General features: G+C 51.5%; 1 protein-coding gene across 10 annotated transcripts in view; it reads right to left on the bottom strand.

Moving 5' to 3' along the window:
- Positions 1 to 16482, bottom strand: part of TRPM2 (transient receptor potential cation channel subfamily M member 2) — a 92504-nt gene that overhangs the window by 40575 nt on the left and 35447 nt on the right. For all 10 annotated transcript variants that reach the window (NR_038257.2, NM_001433516.1, XM_011529736.3 and 7 more), the window contains 7 exons: positions 11045 to 11166; positions 10445 to 10798; positions 6519 to 6656; positions 4194 to 4323; positions 2629 to 2774; positions 1699 to 1811; positions 173 to 389 (listed from right to left, as the gene is read on the bottom strand). Coding sequence is in view for 9 of the 10 variants with exons in the window: in NM_001433516.1 (NP_001420445.1) it covers positions 173 to 389; positions 1699 to 1811; positions 2629 to 2774; positions 4194 to 4323; positions 6519 to 6656; positions 10445 to 10798; positions 11045 to 11166 (1220 nt within the window). In the remaining variant the exon portion in view is untranslated. The remainder of the gene's footprint in view (positions 1 to 172; positions 390 to 1698; positions 1812 to 2628; positions 2775 to 4193; positions 4324 to 6518; positions 6657 to 10444; positions 10799 to 11044; positions 11167 to 16482) is intronic.

Below are 16482 nucleotides of genomic sequence, written 5' to 3'. Positions count from 1 at the left end.
TTGGAGGGCAGCGCCCCAGCCACCCATTTTGGGGAGGAAACACCGGCTCTGCTCAGCTTGCAGGGAGCTGGGCAGGCTAGATGGGGTGGGCTCTAAGCCATGGGTCCCCTATGAGAATGCAGCCAAGTGGGTGGCCCCGGGCTGGGGCGTGGAAAAGCGGGTGGGGCTGTACCTGCCGCATCTCCTCGCACACCAAGGAGAAGAGCCAGAGGTAGATGGCACACTCGCACCAGGAGGGCACAGGCTGGAAGTCCACCATGAGCACGTAGGCGAACAGGCAGAGGAAGGCGAAGTAGGAGAGGATGTTCAGGTGGAAGACCACCACGGGTGCGGTGAAGAAGGCACGGGCGCGGGCCGCGGGGGTGCCCACATCCTGCAGCCTCTTCTCCCTGCGGCCGTCACAGCAGAGAGGAGACAGTGACCACCAGGGCCAGGGTCCTGACCTCCACAGGCTTTGGCCACCCCGTGATCCCCCGTGCCCCTCAGAGAGATGTGCTTTTAGAGGCAAAAGCACTCAGGGATCCGGGGCCATAACGGCAGCTACAGGCGGAGCCGGCACAGCACAGCCTGGGAGCCTCACACACAGCCACCGGGGTGGGGCTGGACCCCACAGCCCAGCAAAGTGAGGACACAGGGATGCCCGCTGACGCCCTGCCCATGGCCATGACCTTAATGGCTGCAAACAGGGAGGCCCAGCCTGCCCCAAGCCCAGCCTTGGGTGGGCCCCAGCTTCAGAGCTCCCAGTGCTCAGTGGACGCTCAGGCCTTAGTCACCCTCCTGTAAATGGGGACAGGCTTTCCTTGCCGTCCTCAATGGGGGTGGGGCTGACCACACTCCCCCTGTGGTGTGCCCTGATCCCAGGTCCCTATCCCCGGGCCGCTGGAACGGGAGCAGAGGCGGCCATCAGTGACACGGCTCTGCCATCCTCGGGAGAGCAGGAGAGAAGCCAGCACTGCTTTAGGACACCTGAGCCGCTCCTCCCTGCCTCAGTTTCCCACCAGGATTCCTGAACACTCAAGTACCCATCCTGGCCGTGAGGAGAAAGGGAAGGAGGCAGGCAGTGTGGACTGCGGGTTGCAGAAGGGGCTCAGCCACCTCGCTGGGGTCTTGAATCTGCCCTGACTCCCAGGAGACCCTGAGCCTCCATCCAGCCCTCAGTAAAACACAGCAGATCCCACAACGCCCCAGCAAGCCTCTGAGGAGGTGCAGGTGGGGACACCAGGCCAGGCCAGGTCTTCAACCATGGCCAGCCGTGTCCTCCTCCTTCATAAGGGAAAGCGATTCCATCAATACAGGCTCTGCGGCTGCGAGGACAGGGAGGCACTCAGCCGCAGCTCGCTGCTCGCATCCCAGACCTGCACTAACTGCCCACGCCGCAGACTGGCTCAGGTCTACAGTGCCGGCAGGAGCAGGAGACCATCTTTCCTGGCCTCCCCAACCCCAGGCTGATGTGGCTGAGGGACGGGCTCATCAGCATCATGAGATCAGTGCTGGGGCTGGGGCAAGGCAGGTGCTTCCAGCACGTGGGGCCCTGCTCTGCTTCCCACCCCCATCTCTACAGCCCCAGGATCCAGGGACAATTCTGAGGACACATGACTTGCTCCCAGCGAGGGGATCTAGGGAAGATCCTGAGCCCCCAGGAGCCTCTCCCGCAGCCCCGCAGCCCCACAGTCCCGCAGCCCCGCAGCCCTGCAGCACCTGAAGGAGATGAGGCCGGTGAGGAGCAGCGGGAAGGCCAGCATGCACAGGGTCACACGCCACAGCCCATTGTCCACGGAGAGCTGGCCCCACCACACCTTGGTCAGGAAGGCCTGCGGATGGGGGCAGTCTCAGGATGGCAGTGCCCAGCCCTGTGCCCCAGATGGTGCCCGTCAGCTGTCTGCTGAGGACTCGGGGTGCCTAGTGGACAGAGCTAGCCTGCAGTCTCACAGCAGAAAGTGGTGAAGACACAGAGCTTGCCCTGGGGCTTTGGGTGTCCAATCCCGCCTTTCACCTGACCTCAAGCTATGGGACCCCATCTCTGCTGGCTTCGAAGGCCCCGCAGTTGCAGGCTGTAGAGCACTGGCCCCTCTGAGCTCTGCAGTGGGGGACAGGACCCTTCCCCAGGCCTCCCTAGGCCTGGCACAGCCCAGGACATGACGGGAGCTCATGGACTTGGCAATAGCTCGGCGCTCCAAGGAAGCCCAGCGTGCAAGGGGCACTCGCTGGGAGCCAGGCCCTGCCGGGGGTTCCAGGGCGATGCTGAGGGCAGCCATGCCTGGGAGCCCCTGCTGCTCCAGGGAGGACACGCCGTGTCCCGCTTATCCCTCCAGGGAGAGAGGGCAGACGCCGTTCCCAGAGCCACCTGGGCTTCTGCCTGCCGCTCCCAGGTAGGAACATCCATGGGGAGGTGAATTGCGATCTCCATGGCCACCAGCTCCTGCTTTTGCTTCATGTTAGCTTCCCCCCATCTGCAAAATGGGAGGCCAGAGCCTGGAGCAGGTGGCCGAGGGGTCAGGCGCTGTCCCCGAGCTGCTGAGGGCCCTGAAGCCTGTGTGAGTGTGCGTGCCAACTGCACGAACAGGAGGCTGTGTCCGCCCTGCAGGCACCACAGGCGTCTGTTTCTGGAAGGGGCTCTTGGGAGGTCACCTGGATGCCCCCGTGAGACACAAACTTCATGTCCTTGGCCTCCAGGGCGAGCTGCAGGCAGGTGGTCTTCCCCCAGGCCTCGGACACGCGGGTGAGCAGTTTCTGGGCTCTCTCTTCGTCCTTCCGGTAGCACTCGGTGAAGACCCCTGGGCGGAGATATGAGAGCCCCGTCAGAGCAGCAGGTCACAATCACTGAGCCCTGGGGACGGGTCAGAGGGCAACCACTCGGGACAGCACCACCAGGACACAGGGAAGGGCACAGGGCAAATGTGGGGCTGGTGTCTCAAAACACCCAGGCCCAGGGACGAGGACCCCAGGGAGAGGGCACGTAGGGCTGGAACTGCCTCTACAAAAATGACAACAGGGAGAAAACTCAGACAGGGACCGAGAACTGACCTAATGGACTCCATCTTGCCTCTAACCTCCAAGCTGCCCTTGTCCATTCCTGGGCATAGGCCACACTAACTTTGAGAGGAACTTCGTTTATAGTTTAACTTCCAAACAGAGATGATAGCGGCCCTTTCCCGAAACGAACCCCCTTCTTGCCTGGGAGCAGTCTGCGTTTGTAAGACTAACAAAGTAGCCACAAATTAGAAATTATGGTTTAGGAGTCACGCAGCCAGAGGCCACAAGATTCCAAACCTCCCCAACTCTTCCTAGGAATATCATCACTATTGGAAAACCCAGGATATTTTGAAAGCCTGCATTCTGATGCTTCACTGACGCCACCCCGACTGGAGATCTGGTGCAACCAGTTCTGTGACCACACGCAGAAACAGCAGACAGCGAGAAGAACCCACTTCGACCCCTGTGATCATGAATAGTAGACAGTGAGAAGAACCCACTTTGACCCGCTGTGATTTCATCTCTGGCCCAACCAATCAGTACTCCCCGCTGCCTGGCCCCCTACCCACCAAATTATCCTTAAAAAACCCCAGTCTCACCAGGCGTGGTGGTTCACGCCTGTAATCCCAGCACTTTGGGAGGCCGAGGTGGGCGGATCATCTGAGGTTAGGAGTTTGAGACCAGCCTGACCAATATGATGAAACCCCATCTCTATTAAAAATACAAAAATTAGCCAGTTGTGGTGGCAGGCAGCTGTAATCCCAGCTACTCGGGAGGCTGAGACAGGAGAATCGCTTGAATCCAGAGGGCAGAGGGTGTAGTGAGCCGAGATTGTGCCATTGCACTCCAGCCTGGGCAACAGAGCGACACTCCATCTCAAAAAAAAAAAACAGTCTCCAAATTTTCAGGGAGACTGATTTGGGTGATGAAACTCCAGCTTCCCATTCAGCCGGCTCTGTGTGAATTAAACTCTTTCTCTATTGCAATCTCGCTGTCTTAACAAATGGGCTCTATCTGAGCAGCAGGCAAGACGAACCCACTGGGTGGTTACAGGGCCGAGACTCCGGGATGAGGACCCCAGGGTAAGCGTGCAGGGCTGAGGCCCAGGGACGAGGACCCCAGGGTGAGGGCACATGGGGCTGAGACCCAGGGATGGGAACTCCAGGTGAGGGCATGCACGGCTGAGCCATGGCCTGCAGCCCGTGCCCGGCAGAGCTCACCGATGGCTCTGTGCTCATACTCCTCCGCCAGCGCCAGCATCTCCTCCGAGCTGTCCGTGTCCTCCTCCTCCTTGGACAGTTCCTTCAGGATCTTGCTGCAGGCCAAGGCCGCTGCGATGCAGTCCTGGCTCTGGGGACCAGAGGAGCCACCGTGAGACTAAAGAGCCAGGCTCAACCCAGCCTGAGGAACCCAACACACTGCCCCAGGTGATGAAAACGAGGCCCGGGGACAGTGCGGGCCACTGGGCAATCACTGTGTGTGACCACATCTATACAGACAACTTAAGCCCCACCCCAGTCAATACACAACCTCTGATGATGGCCCAGGCTCCTGCGTGGCCTGTGGGAGGGGTCTGCTTGCCCTGCAAAGCCTGACGGACAGCACGGGCCCAGCACATGCACCAGCCCCCATCGGAACCCGTGTGAGCTGCAGAGGGCGGCACCACCCGGCCTGTGCGTGCCCAGTGAGACTCGGCCCTGGACATAACCACAGAACCAGTTTTTTTTAGCAGAACTTTTAATTTAAAAATTCCTTTCCTGGGCCGGATGCAGTGGCTTACGCCTGTAATCCCAGCACTTTGGAAGGCCGAGGCAGGCGGATCATGAGGTCAGGAGTTCGAGACCAGCCTGGCCAATATGGTGAAACCCCATCTCTACTAAATTATAAAAAATTAGCCAGGCGTGGTGGCACATGCCTGTTGTTCTAGTTACTCAGGAGGCTGAGGCAGGAGAATCGCTTGAACACGGTAGGCAGAGGTTGCAGTGAGCCGAGATTGTGCCACTGCACTCCAGCCTGGGCAACAGAGCAAGACTCCGTCTCAAAAAAAAAAAAAATTCCTTTCCTGCCTAGAGCTAAGTTCTTTGTTCTCCAACTCCAGGTGCCCCAAGTCCTTCCCAGTGTTGGAGACGCCCACAACCCTCCACAGCCTCCACAGCCCTCCACAACCCCCCACACCCCTCCACACCCCTCCACACCCCTCCACAGCCCTCCACACCCCTCCACAGCCCTCCACACCCCTCCACATCCCTCCACACCCCTCCACAGCCTCCACACCCCTCCACACCCCTCCACATCCCTCCACACCCCTCCACAGCCTCCACACCCCTCCACACCCCTCCACACCCCTCCACATCCCTCCACATCCCTCCACACCCCTCCACAGCCTCCACACCCCTCCACACCCCTCCACAACCCTCCACACCCCTCCACAGCCTCCACACCCCTCCACACCCCTCCACAGCCCTCCACACCCCTCCACAGCCTCCACAACCCTCTACACCCCTCTACACCCCTCCACAGCCTCCACACCCCTTCACAGCCTCCACACCCCTCCACAGCCTCCACACCCCTCCACAGCCTCCACACCCTTCCACAGTCTCCACATCCCTCCACAGCCTCCACACCCCTCCACACCCCTCCACACCCCTCCACAGCCTCCACATCCCTCCACAGCCCTCCACAAGCCTCCACATCCCTCCACAGCCCTCCACACCCCTCCACACCCCTCCACACCCCTCCACATCCCTCCACAGCCCTCCACACCCCTCCACATCCTCCACACCCCTCCACAGCCTCCACAGCCCTCCACATCCCTCCACAGCCCTCCACACCCCTCCACACCCCTCCACAGCCCTCCACACCCCTCCACACCCCTCCACAGCCTCCACACCCCTCCACAGCCTCCACACCCCTCCACAGCCTCCACACCCCTCCACAGCCTCCACACCCCTCCACAGCCTCCACACCCCTCCACAGTCTCCACACCCCTCCACAGCCCTCCACACCCCTCCACAGCCTCCACATCCCTCCACAGCCCTCCACACCCCTCCACAGCCTCCACAGCCCTCCACACCCCTCCAGAGCCTCCACATCCCTCCACAGCCCTCCACACCCCTCCACATCCTCCACAGCCCTCCACACCCCTCCACACCCCTCCACAGCTTCCACACCCCTCCACAGCCTCCACACCCCTCCACAGTCTCCACACCCCTCCACAGCCCTCCACACCCCTCCACATCCTCCACAGCCCTCCACACCCCTCCACACCCCTCCACAGCCTCCACATCCCTCCACAGCCCTCCACACCCCTCCACATCCTCCACAGCCCTCCACACCCCTCCACACCCCTCCACAGCCTCCACATCCCTCCACAGCCCTCCACACCCCTCCACATCCTCCACAGCCCTCCACACCCCTCCACACCCCTCCACAGCCTCCACGTGCACTTGGCCTCAGGCTCTCCAGCCACTCTCTCCAGCCACACTCCCCAGCTGGCCGCTGGCCTATAGCTGTGTCTGCTGAGACTGAGAAGCCAGTCTTATTACCTGAGCCCAGATGATTCCTGCCAGCTCCCGACGGTTCTGGACAATGGCCCAAATGAGAAGGTCACGGATGGGGTCCATGGTGAAGGTCACATGGCCTGAGGAACGCTTGTAGAGGGACCGGAGGCTCACTCCCTGCACCTGGTGAGCAGTGAACTGTCAGAGCCCCAGCCGGGCCGCCTGGCTCAGAGTCACTGGCGGAGCCTGTCAGAGGTGCAGGCCCTGACCCCAGCCCCGACCTTCTCAGGATCTCACTGTCCCTGGAGAACTACAACCTGCATTTTCAGCAACACCCTAGATCATTCTTATGCACACTGAAGTTTTTTAAAACACTGTTCTGGAGACATCTAGAAAGTGAAACGCCCGTCTAACTCCTTTACCAACATGTGTAGACTCTTGTTTCATGCCAGGCACTTCAAGTTCCCCAGTCTTATCTGATGGCATCAAAGCTGCTTTCAACGAAGCAAAATTCTAGCACAGTGGAGTATGTTAATAGGTCAGTGACTGTCTTCTCCCTGAGGGACTCTCCTGCAGTGTCTCTGGCAGAGAGGCCACTAGGAAAGATCTGTCAGGTGGGCAATATGGCTCACTCACGAGCAAGCACAGGGCACCTTGCCCAGACCCACCTCCCTGCATGGCTAGGCTTTTCCCCGGACCAGGAAACACGTACTCAGGTAGCTGGGAAACGCTCCCCAGAAGTAGAAAAAAAACCATCTCCCACATCACATACTGTACAAAACACACCTCAAGTGATCCTAGAAATTTCCTGAAGGTTTTTCATTATAAAGAAATGTGTTTTTCTTCCTAAACCACAGGTACAGATAAGCCTGAGCTTCTGCTTTGGACCTTCCTAAGCATATTCCAACTGAGTGTCTTAAATAAACGCACTGGACTTAAGAAGCGCAGATTGTGAATGTATAAAACCAAGCCATACCCGGCCTGGCACGGTGGCTCACGCCTGTAATCCCAGCAATTTGGGAGGCCAAGGCGGGAGTATCACGAGGTCAGGAGATCGAGACCATCCTGGCTAACGCAGTGAAACCCCATCTCTACTAAAAATACAAAAAATTAGCCAGGCGTGGTGGCGGACACCTGTAGTCCCAGCTACTCGGAAGGCTGAGGCAAGACAATGGCCTGAACCCAGGAGGTGGAGGTTGCAGTGAGCCAAGATTGCGCCACTACACTCCAGCCTGGGCAGCAGAGCAAGACTCCATCTCAAAAAAAAAAAAAAAAAAAAGAAATGTGTTTTTCTTCCTAAACCACAGGTACAGATAAGCTTGAGATTCTGCTTTGGACCTTCCTAAGCATATTCCAACTGAGCGTCTTAAATAAACGCACTGGACTTAAGAAGTGCAGATCGTGAATGTATAAAACCAAGCCATACCCGGCCTGGCACGGTGGCTCACGCCTGTAATCCCAGCACTTTGGGAGGCCAAGATGGGTGGATCCTAAGGTCAGGAGATCCAGATCAGCCTGGCCAACATGGTGAAACTCCATCTCTACTAATACAAAAAATTAGCTGGGCATGGTGGTGGGCGCCTGTAATCCCAGCTACTTGGGAGGCTTAGGCAAGAGACTCAATTGAACCCAGGAGGCAGAGGTTGCAGTAAGCAGAGATTATACCATTGCACTCCAGCCTGGGCAACAAGAGCAAAACTTTGTCTCAAAAACAAAAAACAAAGAAACCAAGTCATACCCATGTCTTTCTCAAGAGTCAGACAGAGCTCACCTGGAACAATGGATCGATTGGAAAACCTGGAGGAAACAGACAATTTTCTAGCAGGAAAAAAAAAAAAATGTGATCTTAGAAGAGATAGAGAACCTAAACAGAAAAATAATCAGAAAAGAAACTGAGAAAGTTACTAGAACTATTACCAATTAAAAAAAAAAGGCACTGGGTCCAGATGGACTCACAGGGGAGTCGACCAAGCTTATAAGAAGTAGTTAACTCCAGCTACATAAACTGTCCTGGAGCGGAGAAGGAAAGAAAGCTTCCCAAATGGTTTTTACAAAACTAACATAAAATTGATATCAGAGCCTGACAAATATAGCCCCCCAAATAAAACTGCAATCAAAGCCTTAAGCATTCTGATGCAAACATCCTGAAAATGTTGCCAAGAGAATCCAGTATATTAAACTTGCACTGAGGCCAAGCTGAAATTCAAAACAGGGATAAAAACATGTTTCACTATCAGAAAATCTATTAAAATAATTCACCAAATTCATAGGTCAAAGAAGAAAAGGAGCTCAATCTTCTCAAAGGCATCGATGCTTTGCTTTGTAAAACCTTAATGAATCAGAGATAAATACTCCCAAGAGGAAATACAAATACAAAATCCAGCATCATTCCTGACATTGAGTCACTGCAAGGTTCCCACTGAAAAAGGGTAAACAGACTAGGGCAGGATTCTCATTGAATCAGGGTGGAGATTACGGCAGGGTTCCCACTGAATCAGGGTGGAGACTAGGGCAGGGTTCCTATTGAATAAGGGTGGAGATTAGAGCAGGGTTCCCATTGGATAAGGGTGGAGATTAGAGCAGGGTTCCCTTGAATAAGGTTGGAGACTGGGGCAGTCTCACCATTAAATAAAGGTGAGACTAGAGCAGGGCTCCCATTGAATCACAGGGTGCAGACTACAGCATCCACTCTCCCACAGCTGCAGTGCACCCTGGGCATCTCACAAAAATACGGTGGAATGTTACTGACCTGACTGTCGGAAAAAACCAGCATACACAGTGGGCAGCAGTGGGGCTCAGGGCAGGGGGATCACGCTCCCTGCAGAACCTTTTGTACTGTTTGGAACTTTTAGAAAGGGTATGTTATGGACGCAACTCTGTCCCCCCTAAAATTCATATGTTGAAGCCCTAACCCCCAGTGTGACTATAGCATTTGGAGATAGGGCCTTTAAGAAGGTAATTAAGGTTAAACGAGGCCACATTGTGGGTTCCTAAGTGGATAGGTGTGTTCTCTTTATAAAAAGAGGGGTGAGGCCAGGTGCGGAGGCTCACACTTGCAATGCCAGCAATTTGGGAGGCCAAGACAGGAGGATCACTTGAGCCCCGGAGTTTGAGACCAGCCTGGGCCATATAATGAGACCCCATCTCAACAAAATATTATAAAAAAAAAAAAAAAGCTGGGTGTGGTGGCACATGCCTATAGTCCCAGCTACTCAAGAGACGGAGGCAGGAGGATTGCTTGAGCCTGGGAGGTGGAAGGTACGGTGAGCCATGATTGCACCACTGCACTCCAGCCTGGGTCACAGAGCCAGACCCTGTCTCAAACATAAAAATAGACAAGGCACGGTGGCTGGAGGGTGTAAATTCCAGCCTTTTGGAGGGTGAGGAGAGCGGATCACTTGAGGCCAGGAGGTTGAGACCAACCTGTCCAAAATAGCAAAACCATCTCTACAAAAAAATAAAAAATTAGCCAGGTGTGGTGGCGCATACCTGTAGTCCCAGCTACTTGGGAGGCTGAGGTGGGAGGATTGCTTGAGCCTGGGAGGTTGAGGCTGCAGTGAGCTAAGATCACGCCACTGCACTCCAGCCTGGACGACAGAGTGAGACCCTGTCTCAAAAAAATAAAAAATAAATAAAAGAAAAAGAAGAGGAAGTGGCACCAGAGACTTCTCTCTCTGTCACGTGAAGACACAGCAAGAGGGCAGCCACGTGCAAGCAAGAAGAGGCCCTGGCCAGAAGCCAGCCCTGCTGGTGCCTTAATCTGGGACTTCGGGCTTCCAGAACTTCGAGAAAATAAACTGGTAGTTTCTGCCCCATCTGTGGAATTTTGTTACAGCAGCCCAAGCAGCCTAAGATAGAGCATGTGTCTTTTCTAATAAAAATAAAAGCTAATTTTAAAAACAGAGAGCTCTAAGAACATAGCAGTAGCCCGCGAAGACGAGTCCAGGATGGGCCCCGTTACCAGCACGCACGTTGAGCTTGACGTGGGGAACGGGCAGCAGGAGCCGCAGCCGGTCGTTGTGCCGGGGCCGGGGATAAAGCGGCTGCGTGAAGTCCCCCAGCAGCTCCCGCAGCACCTGGGCCACGTGGTGCATCTGCAGGCGGGGCGCCGCGGGCGCGCAAGCCGGGCGCTCGGGATCCTCCACCAGCACCTTCTGCAGCTTGCTGTGGAACAGGCAGGAGGGGTCCAGGTTCTCGTACAGGTAGAGCAAGGTGTCCCAGGTGACAAACTCCTTCAGCTGCACCCCGTTCTCCAGGAAGAGCTTCACAAACTCAGGCTTGTTGGAGATGAGTGCAGCTGTCATCGTGGGGTGCAGATCTGAAGGCTGAGAGCAAGCATTGTGCAGTGACGGTTGCATTTGGTCATCACCCCATGTCATCCTGATCTCAAAGACCCTGGAGATGGGGGCTGCTGTTGTCCCCAACCTGGGGAGGATGAAAGCTGCCCAGGTCACCCACCCTCAAGGGAAGGGCTGGGATCCAGACAATGCGAACTTTGCCTGCCCTTGCTTCAGTGGTGCAATGCATGTGGGCCCAGTAGGCCCCTCCACGGGGTGCTCTGGAAGACTTACCTTCCACTGCCACTCATCCATGAAGATCTCACTGCGGGCAATGTCCACGCGATTCCATGCCACTGCCAGTTTCAGCTGGTGGTCCCAGTTCTCGTGGCCAAAGTGGTCTTGGCTCCGTGAGGCTGCAGATGAACAGGTGCATATTGGGCCTCGATCTGGAGCTCAAAGCCATTTCCCTCCAGGGAAATGATGTCAGAGTCAGGGATGTGTCATGAGCCCTTGCCTCTCAACAATTCAAAGTGACAGGCGCAGCACCCAGTGACCTCCTCCCATACACACAGCCTTGCAAAAGCATGTTCCATTTCGGAGTCAGAATCAGTGAATCTTGGGGCTTTGGTCATCACGTCCACTCACTCCTGTTTCCCCTGCCCTCCTCCTGGCCATGCCCTGGCCCCTAAGCGACAGGTGGGCAGTAAGCAAGAAAAGGGCCTCACTGTTTTAAGAAGACATAGGTCTCTGGAGGGCAGGCATCTTACACTAACATCCAAAACTCAGGACTCAGAAGCCATCACATTTCCTTTCCTGCCTCAACTGCCTGTAAATGTTCAACAGTAACAACCACCTCACTGGTTCTCAGGACAAGTTATTTTGCTCAAGTAGTTTCTGTGTTCCCTTTCTGGTTTAACTTTTTAAAACATGGGTTGTTATTTGGGGAAAAAGAAAAAAGAACTTTGACCCTTACCTCACACCATACACAAGAATCAACATGGAGCGGTTCTTAGGCCCAAACATAAAGGCTATGTCTACAAAACTGCCGTCAGAAAACAGAAGAAAATATCTGCAACCTTGGGATGGGCAGAGATCTCTTAGCTATGACACAAAGAACATGAACCATAAAGAAAAATTGATTAAATTGGCTGGGCGAGGTGGCTCACACCTGTAATCCCGCATTTTGGGAGGCCAAGGCGGGTGGATCATGAGGTCAGGAGATCGAGACCATCCTGGCTAACACGGCGAAACCCTGTCTTTACTAAAAATACAAAAAATTAGCCAGGCGTGGTGGTGGACACCTGTAGTCCCAGCTACTTGGGAGGCTGAAGCTGGAGAATGGTGTGAACCCAGGAGGCGGAACTTGCAATGATCCGAGATCGCGCCACTGCACTCCAGCCTGGGCAACAGAGCGAGACTCCATCTCAAAAAAAAAAAAAAAAATTTTAAGCCTCCTGCTCTTCAAAGACATCTTGAAGAAAATATGAAAGGAAACTACACACCATGAGAAAATAATATCTGACGAACGATTTGTATCCGAATATATAAATAACTCTTACAAATCGAAAACTGGAAGACAAACAATCAAATAAAAATGGACAAGAGATCTGAAAGACATTTCAGAAGGAAGACAGGCAAATGGCCAAAAAGTCCTTAAAATGATGCTCCACATCAGTAGTCCTCAGGAAAATGTAAATTCAAACCACAATGAGATGTCACTTCACATCCACTAGGATGGCTACAGTTTAAAAGACTGACAACACCAAGTGTGGACAAGGATGTAGGGTAACGCTCATCCACTGCCAGCACACAGGAAAAAGAATGCAATATTTTCAGAAAAGTTTGTCAGTTTTTTACAAAGTAAAACATACACTTACCATAAAGGCCAGTAATTCCACTCCTAGATATTGACCCAGGAGAAATGAAGACAAATAGCAGCTTTATTCATAATAGCCCCAAACTGGAAACAACCTAAATGCACCCCAACAGATGAATGGAAAAACAACCTGTGGTGTATTCACACAACAGGACACTCCTTCACAGACAAAAAAGAACAAAGTTCTGACACATGCAACAACATGGATGAATCTCAAAAACAATGCACTGAGCAAAAGAAACAAGACATGAAAGAATGCATCATGTATGATTTCATTCACGTGAAGTTCTAAAATGGGCAAAACTAATCTAGAGTGACAGAAAGCAGACAGATGATTTCCAGAGCCAGTCTGGAGGGAGGCTTAACTACAAAGGGCCATGAGGGAATATTCAGGATAGGGGAGATGTCCTGTATGGAGACTGTGGTGGGTCACGGTGTCTGTGCTTGTTATACAGTACATTTAGAATTGAGGGAGCTTATTGTCTCTAAGCTGAACCTTCATAAAGTTGATATTTTAAAATTCATTATGTTTTTAAACTGTGGTAAAATACGTGTAGCATAAAATTTACCATCTTAACTTTTTGGGTTGTTTTTGTTTTTGTTTTTGAGACAGGGTCTTCCTCTGTCACCCAGGCTGGAGCACAGTGCTGTGATCATATTTATAATCATAAGGCTTATTGCAGCCTCAACGTCCTGGGCTCAAGCAATCCTCCCACCTCAGCCTCTTGAGTAACTAAGAGTACAGGTGTGTGCTACCATGCCTGACTAGTTTTTTTTTTTTTTTTTTTTTGTAGTGACAGGGTTCTCCATGTTGCCTAGGCTGGGCTCAAGTGATCCTCCCACCTCAGCCTCCCAAAGTGCTGCGATTATAGGCATGAGCCAGCTCACCCAGCCAAATATTTTTAAGCGTACAGTTCACTGGTCTTAAGTATATTCATAATGTTGTGCAGCCATCATCACTGTCCTTCTCCATATATCTTTTTATCTTGGAAACTAAAACTCTATCCCCATTAAACATTAACTCCTCATTCACCTCTCCCCCAGATCCTGGCACCCACCATTCTACTTTCTGTCTCCATGAATTTGACTACTCCAGGGACCTCTTGTAACTGGAATCATATAGTATTTGTCCTTTTGTGACTGGCTTATTTCACTTAACATAATGTCTTAAGGGTTCAACCATGTTGCAGCATGTGTCAGAATTTCCTTCCTTTTTAAAGCTCAGTAATATTCCATTGTAGGTATAGACCACATTTTGCTTATCTATTCTTCTGTCAATGGACACTTGGGCTGCTTCCACTTTTTAGCTATTGTGGATAATGCAGCTATGAACATGAGTATACACATATCTCTTCCAGACCCTGCTTTAAATTTGGGGGTGGGGAGTGGCATATGTATCTGAGGAGTGGAATAGCTGGATCATATAGGAATTGTATTTTTAAATATTTAAGGAACTGTCATCCTGTTTTCCACGGCAGCTGCACCATGTTACATATCCACCAACAGTGCACAAGGGCTCCAGTTTCTCCACACACTGGCCAACATTTGTGATTTTCTGTTCTTTTCTATAGTAGCTATCCTAATGTGTTTGAAATGATATCTCTTAGTTTTGATCTGCATTTCTCTAATGATTAGTGATGCTGAGCATCTTTTCACGTGCTTATTGGCCATTTGTACGACTTCTTTAAAGAAATGTCTATTTAAGTCCTTTGCCCATTTTTGAATTGTGTTTTTTTTTTATTGTTGAGTTATAGGAGTTCTCTATATATTCTGGATACCAATCCCTTACCATATGTATGATTTGCAAATATTTTCTCCCATTCCATGGGTTGCCTTTTTACTCTGTTGATAATATCTTTTGATGCACAAAATTATTTAATTTTCATAAAGTCCAATTTATCTATTTTTTCTTTTGTTTCCTGTGCCTTAGGTGTCATGGCCAAGAAACCACTGCCAAATCCTTTGTCATGAAGTTTTTGCCCTGTGCTTTCTTCTAAGAGTTTAGGTCTTATATTCAGAAGTCCTTGATCTACTTTGAGTTAGTTTTTGTATATGGTGTTAGGTAAGGGTCTAACTTGATTCTTTGGCATGTGGATATCCAGTTTATCCAGCATCATTTGTTGAAAAGACTGTCCCTCTCCTCACTGAATGATTTTTGCATTCCTGTCAAATATCATTTGACCATATATGCGAGGGTTTATTTTTGGGCTCACTATTCTATTCCATTGGTCTCCATATCTTTTTGGGATTTTTTTGAGACAGGGTCTTGCTCTGTTGCCCAGGCTGGAGTGCAGTGGTGCAATCACAGCTCACTGCAGCCCCAACCTTCTGGGCTCAAGTGATCCTCTCCCCTCAACCTCCCACACAGCTGGGACTACAAGCATGAACCACCTTGCCCAGCTTTTATATTTTTTATAGAGACAAGGTTTCACCATGTTGCTTGGGCTGGTCTCAAACCCCTGAGCTCAAGCAATCAGCCCACTTTGGCCTCCCAAAGTGCTGGGATTACAGGCATGAGCCACCACACCCAGCCCTCTATGTCTTTCTTTACACCATTACCACACTGTTTTGATTACTATAGCTTTGTAGTGAGTTTAGAAATCAGAAAGTGTGAGTCTTCCAGCTTTGTTCTTCCCTTTCAAAATTATTTTGGCTGTTTGGGATCCCTTTAGACTCCACATGAATTTTAGGATGGGCTTTTCTATTTCTGCAAAAAAAAAAAAATCACTGGGGTTTTGATAGGAATTGCATTGGATCTGTAGATTGCTTTGAGTAGTACTGACATCTTAACAATATTAAGGCTTCCAATTCATGAACATGGGATGTCTTTCCATTTATTTATGTCTTCTTTCATTTCTTTCAGCAATGTTTTACAGTTTTCATTGTACAAGTCTTTCACCCCCTTGGTTTAATTAATTCCTCAGTATTTTTTTTCTTTTTGATGCTACTGTAAATAGAATTGTTTTCACAATTTCCTTTTCTGATTATTCATTTTTAGTGTATAGAAATGCAGCAGATTTTTTTTTGGTGGTGGGGGAACGGAGTCTTGCTGTCACCCAGGCTGGAGTGCAGTGGCATGATCTCAGCTCACTGCAAGCTCTGCCTCCTGGGTTCACACCATTCTCCTGCCTCAGCCTCCCAAGTAGCTGGGACTACAGGCGCTCGCCACCATGCCCTACAGGTGCTCGCCACCACGCCCAGCTAATTTTTTGTATTTTTAGTAGAGACGGGGTTTCACCATGTTAGCCAGGATGGTCTCAATCTCCTGACCTCGTGATCCGCCCACCTCCGCCTCCCAAAGTGCTGAGATTACAGGCATGAGCCATCACACCTGGCAAATGTGGCAGATTTTTGTGTATTGATTTTGTGTCCTGCTACTTTGCTGAATTCATTTCTTAGTTCAGGGGTATGTTGTAGAATCTTTAGTTTTCTGCATAGAAAATTGATATGGTTAGGCTTTGTGTCCCCACCCAAATCTCATCTTGAATTATAATCCCTATGATCCCCATGTGTCAAGGGAGAGACCAGGTGGAGGTAGTTGGATTGTGGGGACAGTTTCCCCTATGCTGTTCTCATGGTAGTAAGTTCTCATGAGATCTGATGGTTTTAGAAGGGGCTCTTCCTTCTTCATTTGGCACCTCTTCTTCCTGTCACCTTGTGAAGACAGTGCCTTTCTTCCCCTTCATCTTCCACCATGATTGTAAGTTTCCTGAGGCCTTCCAAGGCATGCTGAACTGTGAGTCAATTTAACCTCTTTCCTTTATAAATTACCCAGTCTTGGGCATTTCTTTATAGCAGTGTGAAAATGGACAAATACGAAAATCATATCATCTGTGAACAAATAATTCTACTT

Source organism: Homo sapiens, chromosome 21 (assembly GCF_000001405.40).
Source record: "Homo sapiens chromosome 21, GRCh38.p14 Primary Assembly".
In the NCBI taxonomy this organism is placed as follows: Eukaryota; Metazoa; Chordata; class Mammalia; order Primates; family Hominidae; genus Homo; species Homo sapiens.
The sequence above is the reverse complement of the archived record's forward strand: the minus strand, read 5'-3'. Positions and strand labels throughout refer to the sequence as shown.